We start from the raw sequence: 17392 nt of genomic DNA on the forward strand, positions 1-17392 counted from the left end.
AGGTGGGCGGGGCAGGCGGGTGTAGGATTGGGCTGTCCCTGGTTGTCAAGGGCCTGGCTCTGGGGCAGTTAAGGCGGGCACATAATGGCCAGGGCTGTGAGAGCCCAATAAGGGAAGTGTTGAGGTGTGGGAGGGGAGCTGACCAGCCTCCAGCCAGGGCCTCAACACCAGGTCAGAAGAGCATGTTAAACATCATATTACACCTGGCACCAGAAAGCTCTTAATAATGTCGACTCATAGGCGATACGATTCAGAGTCAGCGGTCGGCAGGAAAGTTCTGGCACTCGCCCTGCAGTGCACGGAAATCATGAGGACTCACGTGATGCCAGAGAAAGGAAGAGCCTGTTTCCTGTTCCACCAATGTATGAGTTTCCTGTGGCTGCCGTAACAAATTAGCACAATGTAGTGATGTACAACAGCACATATAATCATCCTCCGGTTCTGGAGGTCAGAAGTCTAACATGGGTCTCGCTGGTCTAAAATCAAGGTGTCCGCAGAGCCGCATCCTTTCCGGAGGCTCTCCAGGACGTTTCTTCTCTTTTCCAGCTCCTCCATTCCCTGCCCATGGTCCTTCCTCCAGCTTCAAATACAGCAGCTGAGTTTTTTTTGTTTTTTTTGTTTTGTTTTTTTTTTTTTTTGAGACAGAGTCTCACTCTGTCGCCAGGCTGGAGTGCAGTGGCGTGATCTCAGCTCAATGCAACCTCCGCCTCCCGGGTTCAAGTGATTCTCCTGCCTCAGCCTCCTGAGTAGCTGGGATTACAGGCAAGCGCCACCACGCCCAGCTAATTTTTGTATTTTTAGTAGAGACACGGTTTCACCATGTTGGCCAGGATGGTCTTGGTCTCTTGACCTCATGATCCGCCTGCCTCGGCCTCCCAAAGTGCTGGAATTATAGGCGTGAGCCACCGCACCCAGCCAGCAGCTGAGCATCTTTAACTCTCTTTGTGACTGTGATTCCCCTGCCTCAGACTCTCACTTATAAAGACCCTGTGATGATCTTGGCCCTACCTCGATAATCCAGGAATATCTCCCCATCTCCACGTCCTTAACTGAACTGCATCTGCAAAGTCTCCTTTTGCCATGGAAGGTAGCATATTCACAGATTCCAGGGATTAGGACGTGAGTATCTTTGAGGAATAGGGGAGTGTTGTTCTGCCTACCCAACACTGTAACCCCTGGCATCTCCATCATGTAAGTCCCCATGGTCCCTTGGAGTCAGGTGGTCCTGCAGCTTCCACACCATGACTGGACCTGAGAATCTCCATGGAGGCTGGGATCCCCATCCTCCCCAAGCACCCCAAAGCCATTGGTTGCTAAGGTGCTCCTGCCTCCCGGCTCACCTCCACTTGCAGTTCTCACAGAGCTCCACCAGCTTCCCATCCTGGGGGTACCCCCACCCCATCTCACAGCTTTTGCCTCTCTCCCATCCTCCCCAGTTGAGTCATCCAAGAAGTTCCTCTGGCCTTTGGAAAACAATAGACAGGGAAAGCATGCTGTGGTTCACTCAGCAACAGGAGCTTGCCCCAGAGTGAGGAGGAACCAAGCTGAAATAAAGATGCATTGAGTCCTCCCGCCAGACTCATCGGCCTTCGCTAGGGCACTCATTTCATGTCTGTCTTCCTCATTGGACTCAACCTCCGGACGTCAGGGAGTGACGTGCTACCTGAGTCCTAGCACAGAGCAGACACTCAAGGAAAACACCCCTGGATGCCTTCAACTCAAACAACAGGTTCTAGTCTTCTATTCCATTCTTACTACTGTTTTTATTCTGGAAGGAAAGTCACTCTAACTGCCCCATCATTTTGTCTCTCGGTACTCCTGTTCCCTGTCTGAGATGATAGATTCTGCACCAGGTCAGGAAACTGAACTGGGGATATTGGGAGAATTTTGTCCCCATCCTACAGTTATGGAAGCCAAGGTCCAAGGAAGGCACATGCTCTGTGCAAAGCTACTTGTGTGCAACTTAGAGGGAGGAGCACTAACAAAGGCCTCCATCCCTCTACCCATCTCTCCCCTCCATGCATCCAACATAATTAGTATCCTCTATGTGCAGAGGGGGGCAGAAGGAGAACTGGCATCTATAGAGTACCTACTATGTGCCAGATACTACGCTGTGCACTTTATGCATGTTATAACCAGAATTTTGTGGCAAAGCACCATTAATAGTAGCTTGCATTTGATTTGCTTGGTTTTTATACTGTTCAAAGTGCTTTCACATCTATTATCTTACTTGAGTTTCATGAGTCTATGTGAGGCAGGCATGACAGATACAAATCATCCACATTTAGGAGGGAACAGGACTGATACACAAATAAAGGGCTGTGCAGAGTCGTGTGACTAGTTGTGTTGAAGGCAGGAACCTGGGGTTCTGCTCCAGCACACCTTCCTCCTACCCTGTGCTCTTGGTGGGTTCACAGCCTGCACTTCATATGCCCCACACAGCCTCTCTTCTACATAGAAACCTTGATCCATTTCCAGGCACTGCACATACATGAGTTCCCACAAAATGTACACACCCACATATGCAAAGGTCAGCACTATTTGCACACAAACATACACACACGTGCACAAATATCTGCACACACTCACACACATATGGGTGTTGAGGGGTGAGCATTCAAAACTCATCTTAAGCTGCCAGTTGTTCAGAGAAAGTGAGAGACAACGCCCCATCAACATTTTCACATGTTTGTATGTATGTTCCAGGCTTTCTGAACAGAGTGCTGGTAACCTGAGTTAAAGGATGATTGAATGGTTAAACATGGCTTGCAAGTTAGAGGTAATGAATTGCTCTGGGGAAATTTAAGGGCTTTTTCCCCCTGAAGCCATTTGCTTACATTCTACTGATAACAGACCTAGAGACCTGGCCCAGAGAGAATTCTTCAGAAAGAATTTGTTTATATTTCTGGCTGGGTGCAGTGGTTCACACCTGTAATCCCAGCACTTTGGGAGGCCGAGGCGAGCGGATCACCTGAGGTCAGAAGTTCGAGACCAGCCTGACCAACATGGCGAAACCCCATCTCTACTAAAAATACAAAATTAGCCAGGTTTGATGGCACATGCCTGTAATCCCAGCTACTCAAGAGGCTGAGGCAGGAGAATTGCTTGAACCTGGGAGGCAGAGGTTAGAGTGAGTCGAGATCATGCCATTGCAGTCCAGCCTGGGCAACAAGAGCGAAACTCCGTCACACACACAAAAAGAATTTGTTTATATTCCTGAGAAAAGATCTCTCCCTCTTCAACTCCATGGCAGCTGCCTCATATAAGCTCTAAGTCTCCTAATGTTGGGAATCCTCTCTTATGGTGTAAACTTCACTGCACGGGTAGGTAAACATCTGGCCCTCAGTCATTGTCTCATGAGGAATTGGGGTACAGGGAACAGGCATTACTAACACGCACTGTGCATAAGTAAAACTTCTCTTCTCTGGCCAGAGATCTTGTGTCAGGATAGACAAATAAACACAGATATAAACACCTAAACAATTTATCTGCCCTAAACCACTACTGTCTGTCTTACAAGTTGTGTGCACCAATGAGTATAATAATATTATTATTGTTAATAGCCGCATCTGTTGAGTGCCTACTCTGCTCCAGGCCCAGGACTAAAAACTGTAATTTCTCCAAGATTGCACAGCTGGCCAGAGGTGGAGCTGAGAGTAGGTGCCTTTGCCCAGGGTGGCTGCGTTTGGCCGGCTGCTCCACCATGGAGTAACGTAGCAATGGCTGTTTTGGACAAAGCACAGGTGAACAGGTTTAGTTGTAGGCAGGGGTGCTGAGTCACAGATGGAGGAAGACTGCAGAAGGGAGAGCTTTCTCTGCGGGGCATAATTTCTCCACTGGCAAAGCTGATGGCCTTTCTCATTTTCTTGCCATGGGGTTCCCTGTGTTGAGACTAATTACTGTCTCAACCCTCCATTTGCCAGCATGATGAACCTGCCAAGCCTGCCAGCTGGTCTACTGTGCATTCCTGGATGCTCCAGACCATTCACAGGTTGAAGTCCCATTAGCAAGAGCCACACACGGAGCTGGCCCCCCAGCACTGGGGCCCAGTGTGGGACCTCAGCCTGGCCTTGGGGTGGGTGAGTGGAGTGTGACATAGAGAGGAGATTGAATGAAGCGACCTCCCCTCCTTGCATTTCTCCACTCCTCCCTTTTCTCCTCCTCCCAATGCCAGCAGTGGAAATGCCTCCTGGAACTGAACTCAGCAAGAGTGCACTGAGCCCACGGCCCTGTGCTAGGCAGTCACTCTTCTCAGCACGGGTGGCACTCGGTCTGGCCTCTGCATTTGCCCTTGCTGCGCTCTCCAGGAATGCCTTCTCCCTTCCTCTACTCTATCCCGAATTGTGCAGGTCCCTCTCAAGTCTTATCCCCTGGGTGAAGCTCTCCCTTCTCTGAATTCTCTAGCAATTGACCTCTGGCACAAAGTCCAACAAAGGTCGAACTTCACAATCTAGATTCCATTCAACTCTTCAATTTATACCGTATTAGTAAGTGCCCAGTCAGTGTTATGCTAGGTGTTGATGATAGGGCGGGACGTAAAACTCAGTCCCTGCCTCCTGAAGTTTGTGATCTAGCAGGGAAGACAGATTAAACACAGAACTGGAAGTATGATAGATGAGTGTTAAGACAGGGAAAGTAAAGATTCCTTGGGTATTGCCGGGCGCGGTGGCTAACATGGTGAAACCCCATCTCTACTAAAAAAAAATACAAAAAATTAGCCGGGTGTGGTGGTGGGCGCCCGTAGTCCCAGCTACTCGGGAGGCTGAGGCAGGAGAATGGTGTGAACCCAGGAGGCGGAGCTTGCAGTGAGCCGAGATGGCGCCACTGCACTCCAGCCTGGGCGACAAAGTAAGACTCCATCTCAAAAAAAAAAAAAAAAAAAAAAGATTCTTTGGATGCAGAGAACAAAGGAACTTCTAAATCAAGAGATCAAGGAAAGCCTGCCAGATTACAATTTTTCTTACTCTTCAGTCATTTTGTGAATGTAAATCTTGTCTTCTCTACAAACTGCATTTACTTTGAGTCCAAGAACCACACCTCATTTAGCCCTAATGTTCTTCCTAAGTGTGAGTCCATGAGAAATCATTAGAAAACCCTGGCTACATTGAACAACACCAGTGTGAGCAGTGTCTGCAAGGGATCTGCCACCCTCTTCCTTGACTAACACATTCATCCCCACATCCTTCTTGTGGAATGCACCAAAAGGAAAATTTAGGAGAGAAAATACATGTTTCTTTAAATTTTGTGTCCCCAGTTTTTCTGCCCTGCTTCCTAACTCAGTATTCTCTCTTTGAGCTGCCCTGGGATAGGTCTGGTAGTGATCCTAACTCCAAATAAAAAGTGGGTATGGAGTCTACATGGGCCTGAGTGAAGGTCACCCAAGAGAAAAGGGCCAGGACCCTAAATCCACCAGCCAAGGTGGGAGGCAGAAATGCAACCTTTCTTCCTGAGGAATTCCATGATTAATTCACTTTCATAAAATAAATTTCCATCAACATTTATGAAAATCATACCGTGTGCTAGGAAGTGTACAGTCACCAGGGAGGCACACAGGTGCCTGAGATGTGGTGAGCCCCTCAAGGGGCTTACAGGGAAGTCAGAAAACTGATCTATTCAGAAAAAAATCATGCAGATGGCAGTTCCTGGTGAGTGGTTGTCCTCCAGGTGCCAGGTGCTGGGGGCTCGTGTCCCTTGGCTTCGTTCTACCACAGCCCTCCAGGTAAGGCATTAGGATTCCTGATTTTAGGACGAGGAGATTGAAACTCAGATTTTCACTTGTCCAAGGTTGCAGCAGGTGCGATGATCCGAGTATCTCTGTAAAATTTATATGTTGAAGCCCAGCCCCCAAGGCAAAGGTACCAGGAGGTGGGAGGTGATTAGGTCCTGAGGGCAAAGTCCTCAAGAATGAGATTAGCCCCTTTATAAAAGAAGCCTGAGAGAGACCCCTCACCCCTTCCACCCACCACGTGAGGCGTGAGAAGACGCCCTCTATGAACCAGGAGGCGGGCTCTCCCCAGCCTCCAGAACTGTGAGAAATATGTTTCTGTTGTTTCTGGTGCACCCAGTCTATGGTGTTCTGTTACCGCACCCTGTGCAGAGTAGCACAACAGGCTAGTTCCGGGCCGGGATAGGAGGCCAGTGAGGGGCCGGGGAAGGAGGCCAGTGAGGGGCCGGGATAGGAGGCCAGTGAGGGGCTGGGGTAGGAGGCCAGTGAAGGTCCAGGATAGGAAGCTAGTGGGGGGCCAGGTTATGAGGCCAGTGTGGGCTGGGATAGGAGGTTAGTTCGGGGCCAGGGTAGGAGGCCAGTTAGGGGCCAGGGTACCAGCCCTGCTGCTTTGTTTAGTTCTGAGGCCTGTGTTTGTATTTTCTTTTCGTTAACTCATGCTGCACGCAAGTGAAAATGCATCTGTTTTGGTTTTGTTTTTTGGATTCAGAATGATCCTTAAAGATCAACTAGTCCAGCATTTCCTAGGTGTTATTCTGTGGTACAAGATATTCTGTTAAAATGGGTATGTGTGTGTGTATGTGTGTGTGTGCATGTGTGGTGTGTGTGTGTGTGTGTGTGTGTGTGTGTGTGTATGTGCATGGTTTTAAAAGCTAGGAAAGGTTGCAAATCATTTCACCCTCTTGGTGGCTCACAGTTGCCATACTGAAGGCTCTGAGAAGTCCTGTGATTCACACGTGTAATCCCAGCACTTTGGGAGGCCGAGGCGGGCAGATCACGAGGTCAAGAGATCGAGACCATTCTGGCCAATATGGTGAAACCCCGTCTCTACTAAAAATACAAAAATTAGCTGGGCATGGTGGCACGTGCCTGTAGTCCCAGCTACTCAGGAGGCTGAGGCAGGGGAATCGCTTGAACCCGGGAGGCAGAGCTTGCAGTGAGCTGAGATTGAACCACTGCACTCCAGCCTGGCAACAAAGCAAGACTCCATCTTAAAAAAAGAAAAAAAAAGAAAGAAAGAAAGGAAAAGAAGTCCTGTGACAGGTAAGCCTGTTTAATCTAGTGATTCCAACATGTATTTAACCATGCTATGCTCTTTTGAAAACCCCTGCGGTGATGTCAAGGAAATCTCCCTCGGAATAGGCTGATAGTCCAATCCCGTCATTTTACCAGGACAGAAGAGCAAGGCCAGAAAGGGTCTGAGATCTGAGAGAGACAGGAGTCAGACCTGGGCTGGCACATGGCTCTTTCCGCCCCACAGACTGGGCAGTGCTGCGAAGGACATGCAGGTCTGGACAGCCACGGGGGCCTGTGTGAATAAGCGCATGGAGGCAGGGAAGCAGCCCTCCGGTTTGGAGAAAGGTGAATAGCCTGGCTTGACCTCTGTGTAAAGTCCTGAGGAAATAGGAAGATGATACAGCCCTACGGGGGTGGCATGGGGGCCGAAATGCAGGGCAGAGGCAAAAAGGGCACTGCGCATTAGATAGGCACCTCCCATTGCAGAGGTGAGGACATCCCCACTGCAGAGGTGAGGAGACTGAGGTGGAGAGCAGGAGGCACCCAGCCCATGTGACATCGCCCACCTTAGGAGGGCCTACAATTGTTACATTAATGACAATATACTGATTTTAAGTTCTTATGATAATTTGCTACTTTTTATTTTTAACAATTTCTTTGATAAATAAGTCACATACATACAATTCACCCATTTAAAGTTACGATTCAGTGGCTTTTAGTATATTCACAGATATGTGCAAGAATCACCTCAACAAGAGGCCCTGCATCCTTCAGCTGTCACTTTCCTATCCCCCATATGCCCCAGCCCTAAACAACCACAAATCTGCCTTCCCTCTCTACAGATCTCCCTAATCTGAATGTCTTCTACTAATGGGATCCTGCCACCTCTTGTCTTTTGTGACTGGCTTCTTTCACTTAGCGTGATGTTCTCAACGTTTATCCATATTGGAGCATGGATCGGTGCTTCATTCCCTTTAATGGCTGAATAATATTCCACTGTACAATTATACTAAATACCTCTTGTTGATCCATTCATCACCTTTTGGCTCTTACCAATAATGCTGCTATAAATATTCATGTACAAGTTTTTTGTTTGTTTTTGAGACAAAGTCTCACTTGTCACCCAGGCCAGAGTACAATGGCACAATCTCGGTTCACTGCAACCTCTGCCTCCCAGGTTCAAGTGATTCTCCTGCCTCAGCCTCCCGAGTAGCTGGGATTATAGGTGTGTGCCACCATGCCCAGCTAATTTTTATATTTTTAGTAGAGATAGGCTTTCACCATGTTGGCCAGGCTGGTCTCGAACTCCAGACCTCAGGTGATCCACCCCCCTCAGCCTCTCAAAGTGGTGGGATTACAGGCATGAGCCACCGCACCTGGCCATATTCATGTACAAGTTTTTATGTGAACAGAAGTTTTCATTTATCTTGGGTATATATCTGGGGGTGGAATTGCAGGGCTGTGTGGTAACTGTATATTGAACATTCTGAGAAACTGTTTGAAGAATCAAGCTGTTTCCAAAGCAGCTGCACCCCTTTACATTCCCACCAGCAATGTCTATGCGTTCCAACTTCTCTATATCCTCACCAACATGTGTTATCATCTGTCTTTTTTATTTTCGCCATCCTAGGTATCTCGTGGTGGTCTTGATTTGCATTTTCCTGGTGGCTAATGATGTTGAGCATCTCTTGATGTGCTTATTGGCTGTCGCCTTCACTTACTTCACAGGCTTTCAGTAAGGAAGCACTGTGGACAATCTGGGCTGGCTGGCCACCCCTGGCCTGAGGCATGGGCATGGTGAGCAATGCCCCCACCTCTCTTGCTGCCCAGAGAAGCTCCCTGCACCCACAGGGCAGCAAGCAGTGTACAAGGCAGGTACAAGGGTTTTGAAATAGGAAATGGTTCATTCTGAGCCTAGCTGTTTGCTCAGCCGATTCCAAAGGAATCTACCTATTTCTTTTAGTCTAAGACGGGTAATACACAGACCCCTCATTCTGGATCCTTGAAACCTTGATAAAGGCAATCAAGTGACAGAAAGGGTAGCATCCTGGGAGATCCCGGCAGGAGCAGTCAGCCTATCTGATCTGCACTTTGAAAAAGGAGAGGGAAGTTTCCCGGAACTGATGCTGCCTCCCAAGTGTCGAGGAAACACCAGCAAGGGGCGTCCAGGAGCCTGGGTGTTTGCTGGGGCTTCTGGGGGTCTCTGCTCATTGAGAGACCCAGCTGTCCTCTCAGAGCCTCACACTGTGGCTACACAGAGAAAGTGTCCATCATGAAACCGCCTGGGTATCATCTGGCAGTGCTGCATCCCGACCAAAATCAGTTGTGAGAGGAGGTATGGAATGAAGGTCTAGCTGCTGCTTTCTCTGTGTGAGGATGTCATGAGCCCATAGGGAAGCTGTTGGCTTGAGTTGCCAGGGTTGATCAGAAGCTCAGTGCTCTTGATTTATATCCTCTTGGGCACATATTGGTGACAGAAAGTGGGTGTGCAAGGAGAGGGAGCAGCCTCACCTGACTCCACACTGGAGGGGGACTGGCTTCTAAACGGAGCGCAGCTATGTGGGGAGAGACCAGGGGAGTAGACTTGTTATGCCATAGAGATCTTCAAAATCATACCTCATTTGGAGAAAAGGAGACACAGGAAGCTATAAGAACTGTTGGAAATTGCTTAAAGCAAGCTGTTAAATGGAAGAGGAACCAGATTTTGGGTGTATGTGACGTTAGAACTAGGGTTGATTCATAGAAGTTTCATTGACTTAGAACTTTAAAGGTAGGAATAATCAGAAAACAGAACTGACTGCTTTGTAAGGTGATGAGTTCCCTGACACTAGAGGTATTCATGCAGAGTGTGGATAACTGTTTATAGGGGATGATATAAAAGGCATTCAGATGTTTGGAGGAGGGCCTGATGCATTCTCAAAAAACCTCCAACTTTGAAATTCTCTTTCAGATTGCGCCATATGAAATTCTTCTCTGGCCAGTTACGTCTTTTTAATATGAGAATACTCCAGTCAATTCTTAATCATCTGCACTAAAGGAGGGTCATAAAATGCATAAAATCCAAACTACTGTAATAGCAATTTGCCAAACACACTGATCTTATAGTATGTTTGGTTTGGGAGCATTTCATGATGCTTTATTTAGACTGATGGTTTAGATATGTTTCTTACACTGTTGGATCTGTGCTGTGTACTGTATTACAAGAGACAGACAACTCGCTATTGGCAAGACCCTCTGGTGTTTCTGGCAACTAAACCACGTGGCTTAGAATTGGAGACGGATCTGTAGGGGGCTGAAATATGAGCTAAAGGGAATGTCTCTGTTAGGGAAGGATATATGCCAAGGGACCTCTGAAAAAGATGAGGCAGATTACGCGAAAGGCCACCCTAGAAATACGTCTTGCCAGATTGGAACCTGTGAAATTCTTCAAACCCTATAGGAGGGGAAGGTGGAGCTTGAAATCCAAGGCCCACAAGCATCTCTTTCCCAGATGTTATCCTGGACTTGGGTCAGGGTCCCTTAGTGAATGGTAGTATCCCAGTTGCACAGCCTTCCAATGCAAAGGCCTGCTGCATGGAAGGGTAGAATAGAAAATAGAAAAGCAATGTACACACACAACTTTGCATCACTGGTGATTTTTGAAATAGAAATAAACTTGATGCATAAAAATAACAAAAAAAAATTCAGACTAAAAAAATAGCACATCAACATAAAAAGCAAGTTTTGACTGAAAAAGATACATTTCCTCCCTCATTAACCAGCACTGCTGCATCTTTGGCATGGCACAGGGAGGCTGAATCATGCAATAGTTAAGAGAGTTGGCTCTGGGGTCAGACTTCCTGAGCACAATCATGGCCCTGTCACTTACGAGCAGTGTGACCTATGGCAAGTTACTTTACCTCTTTTTTTTTTTTTTTTGAAATGGAGTCTCACTCTGTTGCCCAGGCTGGAGTGCACTGGCATGATCTTGGCTCACTGCAACCTCTGTGTCCCAGGATCAAGCGATTCTCCTGCCTCAGCCTCCCGAGTAACTGGGATTACAGGCACCTGCCACTATGCCCAGCTATTTTTTGGGTTTTTTTTTAGTAGAGACAGGGTTTCACCATGTTGGCCAGGCTGGTCTCGAACTCCTGACCTCATGATTCGCCCGCCTCGGCCTCCCAAAGTGCTGGGATTACAGGCAGTGGCACGATCTTGGCTCACTGCAACCTCTGCCTCCCAGGTTCAAGCAATTCTCCTGCCTCAGCCTCCCGAGTAGCTGGGATTACAGGCACCTGCCACTAAGCCCAGCTATTTTTTGTTTTTTTTTTTTAAGTAGAGACAGGGTTTCACCATGTTGGCCAGGCTGGTCTCGAACTCCTGACCTCATGATTCACCCACCTCAGCCTCCCAAAGTGCTGGGATTACAGGTAGTGGCACGATCTTGGCTCACTGCAACCTCTGCCTCCCAGGTTCAAGCGATTCTCCTGCCTCAGCCTCCCGAGTAACTGGGATTACAGGCACCTGCCACTATGCCCAGCTATTTTTTGTGTTTTTTTTTTTTAGTAGAGACAGGGTTTCACCATGTTGGCCAGGCTGGTCTCGAACTCCTGACCTCAGGATTCGCCTGCCTCGGCCTCCCAAAGTGCTGGGATTACGGGCGTGAGCCACCGCGCCCGGCCAGTTACTTTACTTCTCCGTGGCTAAGTTGTCACATCTATAAAAAAAGATGAGCATGATAATAGTAGTATCTAACTCATGGGTATTGTGAGATTGTAAAGCATTTGGAATGATGCCTATCATATAGCAAATGCTCAATAAATGTTATTTCTTATGGTTACAGCCTTCATAACAGGTAATTTTCTCACAACAGAAAATCAAATCCCAGGCCAAGGAGAGGCAAAGTGGGATGGTGACGGTGGATTTTTTTGGCAATTTCAATGAGAAAGATGGAAAATCGAGCTATTTGATCAGAGCTCCAGCTTTCAACACAGTGCTCACTAGAATCACATGATGAGCTGTTTAAACAAATAAAGACTAGCTGTACCTAGACCAACTAAATAATATCTCAGCAGTAAAGCTCAGGCCCCTGTATTTTGCTAAAGCTCCCCAGGTGATTGAACCATGTGGTCAGTGCTGAGAATCACAAGACTAGATTCTTGCTGCTTAAAGTGTGGTTCAGGGATCAGCAGCATGGACACTACCTGGGAATATGTTGGATCTACGGAATCTCAGGTCCCTCCTTACCTGCCCAAGACTTGCTGAATCAGAATCTGCACTCCAGAAAGATTCCCCCAGGGACCCATATGCACACGGATGTTTGAGAAGCACTGAGTTAGATGATTTCCAAGGTCACTTCTTGCTCTAAAGTAGGTGTAAAAGCAATGCTAATTGAGATAATGAGGACAGCCAATGTCCCAGAAGAGTCTCAGGCAGAGAGGCTTTCAGAACCTGGACCCACAGAGATACTGTTGGAGCCAAAGGCTGATGTTTCCCCAGGCATGGAAATCTTGACAAGAACACACCTGTGCTCACAGGTCAAGGCAATTATTTAGCAGGGTGCCCCTGGCACTCAAGCCTTGGCGCAAATGGAAAGCAGTGATGGGAAGTGACACAGATTGATAGGAACCAGAGAGACGGAGAGTAGGGAGATAAGATAATGTTATTTTCCTGAGATATCAATGAACCTAGATATTGATGGAATTACAGTGCTGTGGATGGCTCTTATGAGTCATTCACATTTGGAACTGGCAGCCTCCAAGAGGGTGCACCCCCCACTTACATAGGAACCTTAGTTCCCGCTTACTGTCTCTCTGCCCGCTGACCTCTTTCCCTTTGAGCCACTAGAGCATGGCTTCACACTCCTACCAACCCCCATGATTTCCGTCCTCTTCTTCACCCTCCAAATTCACCTCCTCTTCACCCGAGTCCTATATCACCGAATCACTGCCTCCTTCTTGTGCTGTTCAGCAAGGCACTTTTCTGTGTGGCAATGGATGTCAAGAACCACGGATAACTACTGTATAAAAAAGTATTGAAAATTCAAAACCAAGCCCAGTGTCAATATCCCTGGACTCTACCTATTAACTGTGCAAATGGGAAGTCACCAGACCTGATGAAAAAGTACAATAAACAAAGGATTAGCCGGCTTCCAGAACTTAAACAACCTGGTTGAAGAAGCCCAGAAGACGAAACCAGTTTCTTTTGTACAGGGATTTAGTCCTCCATAGTTTTTATGGTGAAATATAAATTTCAATATTTAAATATAACATAAAACTTATCATTTTAACTATTTAAAAATGTATTAGTTCTGTGGCATTAAGTACATTCACGTTGTTGTACAATCATCACCACCACCATCTCCAAAACCTCTTTATCTTCCCAAAGGGAAACTGTAGCCAATAAAAGATGACTTCCCCAGCCCCCTCTCTCCTGGCCTCATTCAATGAAAGTAGAAACCATTATTCTACTTTCTTTATGAATTGGACTACTCTAGGTACCTCCTGTAAGTGGAATCATATGATAGTTGTCCTTTTTTGTCTAGCTTATTTCAATTAGCATAAGGTCCTCAAGGTTCCTCCATGTTGAAGCATGTGCCAGAATTTCTTTCTGATTTCTACCCAACATCTTGCCACTCTGGCAGACAATGAAGTCATTTTTGTAGTCAAGGGCATCTTACATTGTGAGGAGCGGACATAGGGAGGCATGCAAATTGTCTCTGCCTCATCAACAACAGCAATCAACACAAGAAAAAGAATCATCATGGAGGATGGTCTTTGGCTATGGATGGAATTGGAAAAGGTTGAGAAGGAGTGGAGTCCGTAAGTAGAGGGTGGGACCGAAGACCTAGAGATGGACAGGAGGCTGAGGACTCTGTGTGTGTGTGTGTGTGTGTGTGTGTGTGCGCGTGTGTGTGTGTCTGTGTGTGTCAGCCTCCTGAAGCAAGCTTAGCTTTCTAAATTTCACCATTGTAGTTGAGCCCATAGGGCTGCCTCTGGTAGCCCCATTTGCTCTAGAGCCCTGGCTTACAGAATGTGCTCCAGCACCACAGACTGTTCTTGGCCTTCCCACGGGCTGTTGTCAATGTGTCTGCAGCAGGGTCGTCGCTGACCCCAGCAAACCAAAGCACAGCTCAGGACACAGCTACAGCCTCAGACTTCAGGGAGTTCACATCTCAGGAGGGAGCAAAAGCAGGGAGCATGACTCTTTCACTTAGCGTCTCAGAAGAGAATGGAAAGAACCTCGGTGGTGCTGTGCCCTCATTTTGATCTAAGGAAACTGAGCCCCAGAAGGATGCTATAACTAGCCCAAAGTCACACAATGGAGCTAAGACAAGAATTCAGGTATCTGCTGTTTCTCCAAGACTCTAAGTCCATGATGACTTCAACAACTGTGAATTCTCCTCCCCATCTTCCCACTCTCCAGGCCTTCAATACCCACTTCTCCAGGGGCTGATGGTTAGAGAACCCATTTCAAAATCATCCCCTGATGTCCCCTGAGTCATCACCCTCTAGGAGTCTCACTCTCTCCACGAAGGTCCAGGGCGTGCCTCCTCCCTCGCCCTTCAGGACACCCCTGCATTTCGTTCTGATTGTTTACTTTTTCAGCAAAACTGCCATGAGGCCTTGGACAAGACTCTGTGGAGTGGAACCCCAGCTAAAATGAGAAAGGATTAAGCAAAGTGAACCTTACCATATAGGGCTTGAAATACCTTTGCCACCTGAGAAGCCAGCCTCGGCCCCCACCCTGCACCTCTCTTTATACACTTTTGTTTCCAGGGGCCCCCTCAACTGTTCTCTTATTTCCGTAAAATGATTGAAATGCCCTGAAAGGGACAGTTTAAGATTTGAAATCACTACTATATTGATTCAGGCAAGTTCTTACTGTAGGAATTTTGGACGGATCTGGGCAAAAATGTTGGAAAGTTCCAACACACTGACTTTAATCTCATTAGTGCAAATTCAGCTGACAGGCACTGAGCCACCCTGGGGGGGCTAGGGCCTGAGATGAGCAGACACTTACAAGGGGCAATTTCCTTCACACCTGGAGATGAGAAATCGCAGTTGTCAGCCCTTGCTTTGAAAGACAGGAAGATTGGTGATAAAGTCAGAGTTGCCCCCAAGAGGCTCTGCAGGAATAAGGACACATTCCATTCCCTCCCAGGGAGGGAGGAGCAGCGGATGGAAATAGCTAGGAGAGGAGAGGAGCACAGAGAAGGAGCCACAGAGTGAGCCTCTCACAAGAGAGGACAGGGATTAAAGCCACCGAAATCCATCAGACTTCCTCTCTGCTTTGCATTTTAAAAGCACCCGTTGCAATCATTGGCCACATCTGCTATCCTCATCAGCAGAAAGCAGAAATTATTTAGAAGCTCCTCACCTGTCCCCCTGAGTTAAATCAACGTTGCACTTGCTTGTTATTTCCATGTATTTCAATAGCTCCCAGAGGAGTAGTTCCAAGAATATGGACCTGGAATATTTCCTCTGACATAGAATTGCCAAATCTGTATTTTGTCAAGTAATGATGTTAAAAGAAAACAAAATGAAATGAGAAAACAAATAAACATCAAGCAACTGCTATTATCACCATGATTTTTTTAAGGGGGCATTTTCATGCCAAATAAATAAATGAAGCTCTTTACACAGCTCTTCCTTTTCTGATTTTGGCATGGTCTTTAGCTGTGGTCCCAGGGGATAAGGACCTACTGCTATTGGATAAGGAGAAACTATGTTTCTGACTCCATTTCCTACCATTGTCCCTGATCTGCTTCCCTCCCCTAAAAGACACCCTTTAGCCCACCTCGATACACCAGGATGTACTGCATCTTCTCACCCTGTGCACACTGCACAGAGCCCACTCCTGCATCTACCTGGGAACGCTTGCTCCTCCTTGAGCTGGCAGAAGCCTTCACCTCCTCTCCACAAAGGGGACCACCCTCCCCCATGCCATGGGAATAGTATTCATCATATTACTCTGCAATTGGTTACATTTACAAGTCTCCTTCTTTCCCTCCGCAAACTCCGTGAGGGCAGAGGTGATATCTTACTCACCCTTATAGACCTAGGCAACCAGAAGAAAACCCCCTCCCCAGAGGTGCTCAGCCACCCAGGGAGGAGGGGGTGACCCACGCAGCGTCCCCTCAATTCACCAAGAATATGCCCAGGACTGTGCTGGCCATCACTGAGGCAACACCAAAGTAGACAACGAGGTCCTTGCCCTTGGGGAGTTTACTTTTAGGGAATTTGTTTAAATCAACCAGAAGTCAGTGAGACAATACAAACCATTTGGAAGCAGTGTGAGTCAACCGCGGGCATAATAGCCCAGGGAATTTAAATGGAAGGGAAATCATCTCAGGGCGGGGTTGGCCAGAGGTGGTTTCATGGAAGAGTTGAGTTTTCATCTAGGCCTTGAAAGAAGTATAGAATTCAAATTGGCAGAAGAAAGCAAAGATAAGTCAAGGAAGGTAAGGAGTGGGAGTGAAGGCTTGAAAGAATTACACAGTGGCAAAAACAAGCAGGGCACCAGGGTTAGAACCATGCTGTAAGAACTAAGGAACTCAGCAGGGGAGCCCTGAGGGGAGGCAGGTTGGAAAGATAGACTTGAACTGAATGCCAAGCAGAGTAATATAATTTTATCGCTGGAAAGATTAGGCATCTCCAGTCCAATCCACCCATTTTACAGCTGAGAAAACTGAGGCACAGGGAGAGTGACTTCCCAGGAAAGTAGGAGCAGCAGCAGCAAACATAAAAGCAATGGCAGACATCTGCAGGACTCTTCCAACACGTTGGGCATTGCGCTAAGCACTTTATGTGCATATCTCATCTAATTACTACAACAACCCTAGGAACTAGGCACTAGATATAACCCCATTTTGCAGGTAAGAAAGCTAAGAAGGCAAGCAGCTGGCTCAGGGTCACAAGGTAACGTGGCCAAGCAACAGAGTCAGCACTTTGGAATTGCTCTCACAGGGTGCCTGTGCTCCTGGAAAGAAGGTAGGACTTGAAATCAAAAGACATGCATTCAAATGCCGGCTCCACCTCCAGAGTCATATGACCTCGGGTGAGTTACCTAACCCTACTGACCCTCTGTTTCCTCATTGGTACAAAGGAGATAATAATTCCTACCCCACAGGATTTCTGTGGGGATTAAGAAAGCTTAGAAGTGTCAAGTTCTTGGCCCGTAGTATGAGCTCAGTAAACGTTACGCCCATCCCCTCCCCTTCCCACCATCCCCTTCCTTCCATTAGCCTTGACGCTACCTCTACGGTCCTGCAGCTGCAACTCCCCACCCCTGTCCCACAGATGCAGGCCTCCTCTGTCCCTGGACACTGGACTTCAGGCTGAGGTGTCCTGCCTTGGAGGTAACTGCATGGTGGAGGGGAGAGGAAGGGAGGAGGAAGAATCTGGTTTTTCTCATAGCTCATTTGGCCCTAATGATGTTACTGGCATGGGA

The 17392-nt window shown here is 47.4% G+C and overlaps 1 annotated feature.

Annotated features, from left to right (window-relative positions):
- Positions 14139–14741: an enhancer, noted in NCBI's record as "H3K27ac hESC enhancer chr11:129458354-129458956 (GRCh37/hg19 assembly coordinates)". NCBI's record gives its function as "activates a minimal SCP1, AML or CMV promoter by ChIP-STARR-seq in naive H9 embryonic stem cells {active_cell/tissue: H9 hESC(naive)}" and the evidence as "EXISTENCE:reporter gene assay evidence [ECO:0000049][PMID:30033119]".

The sequence above is a fragment of the Homo sapiens genome, chromosome 11 (assembly GCF_000001405.40).
Source record: "Homo sapiens chromosome 11, GRCh38.p14 Primary Assembly".
NCBI lineage: Eukaryota > Metazoa > Chordata > Mammalia > Primates > Hominidae > Homo > Homo sapiens.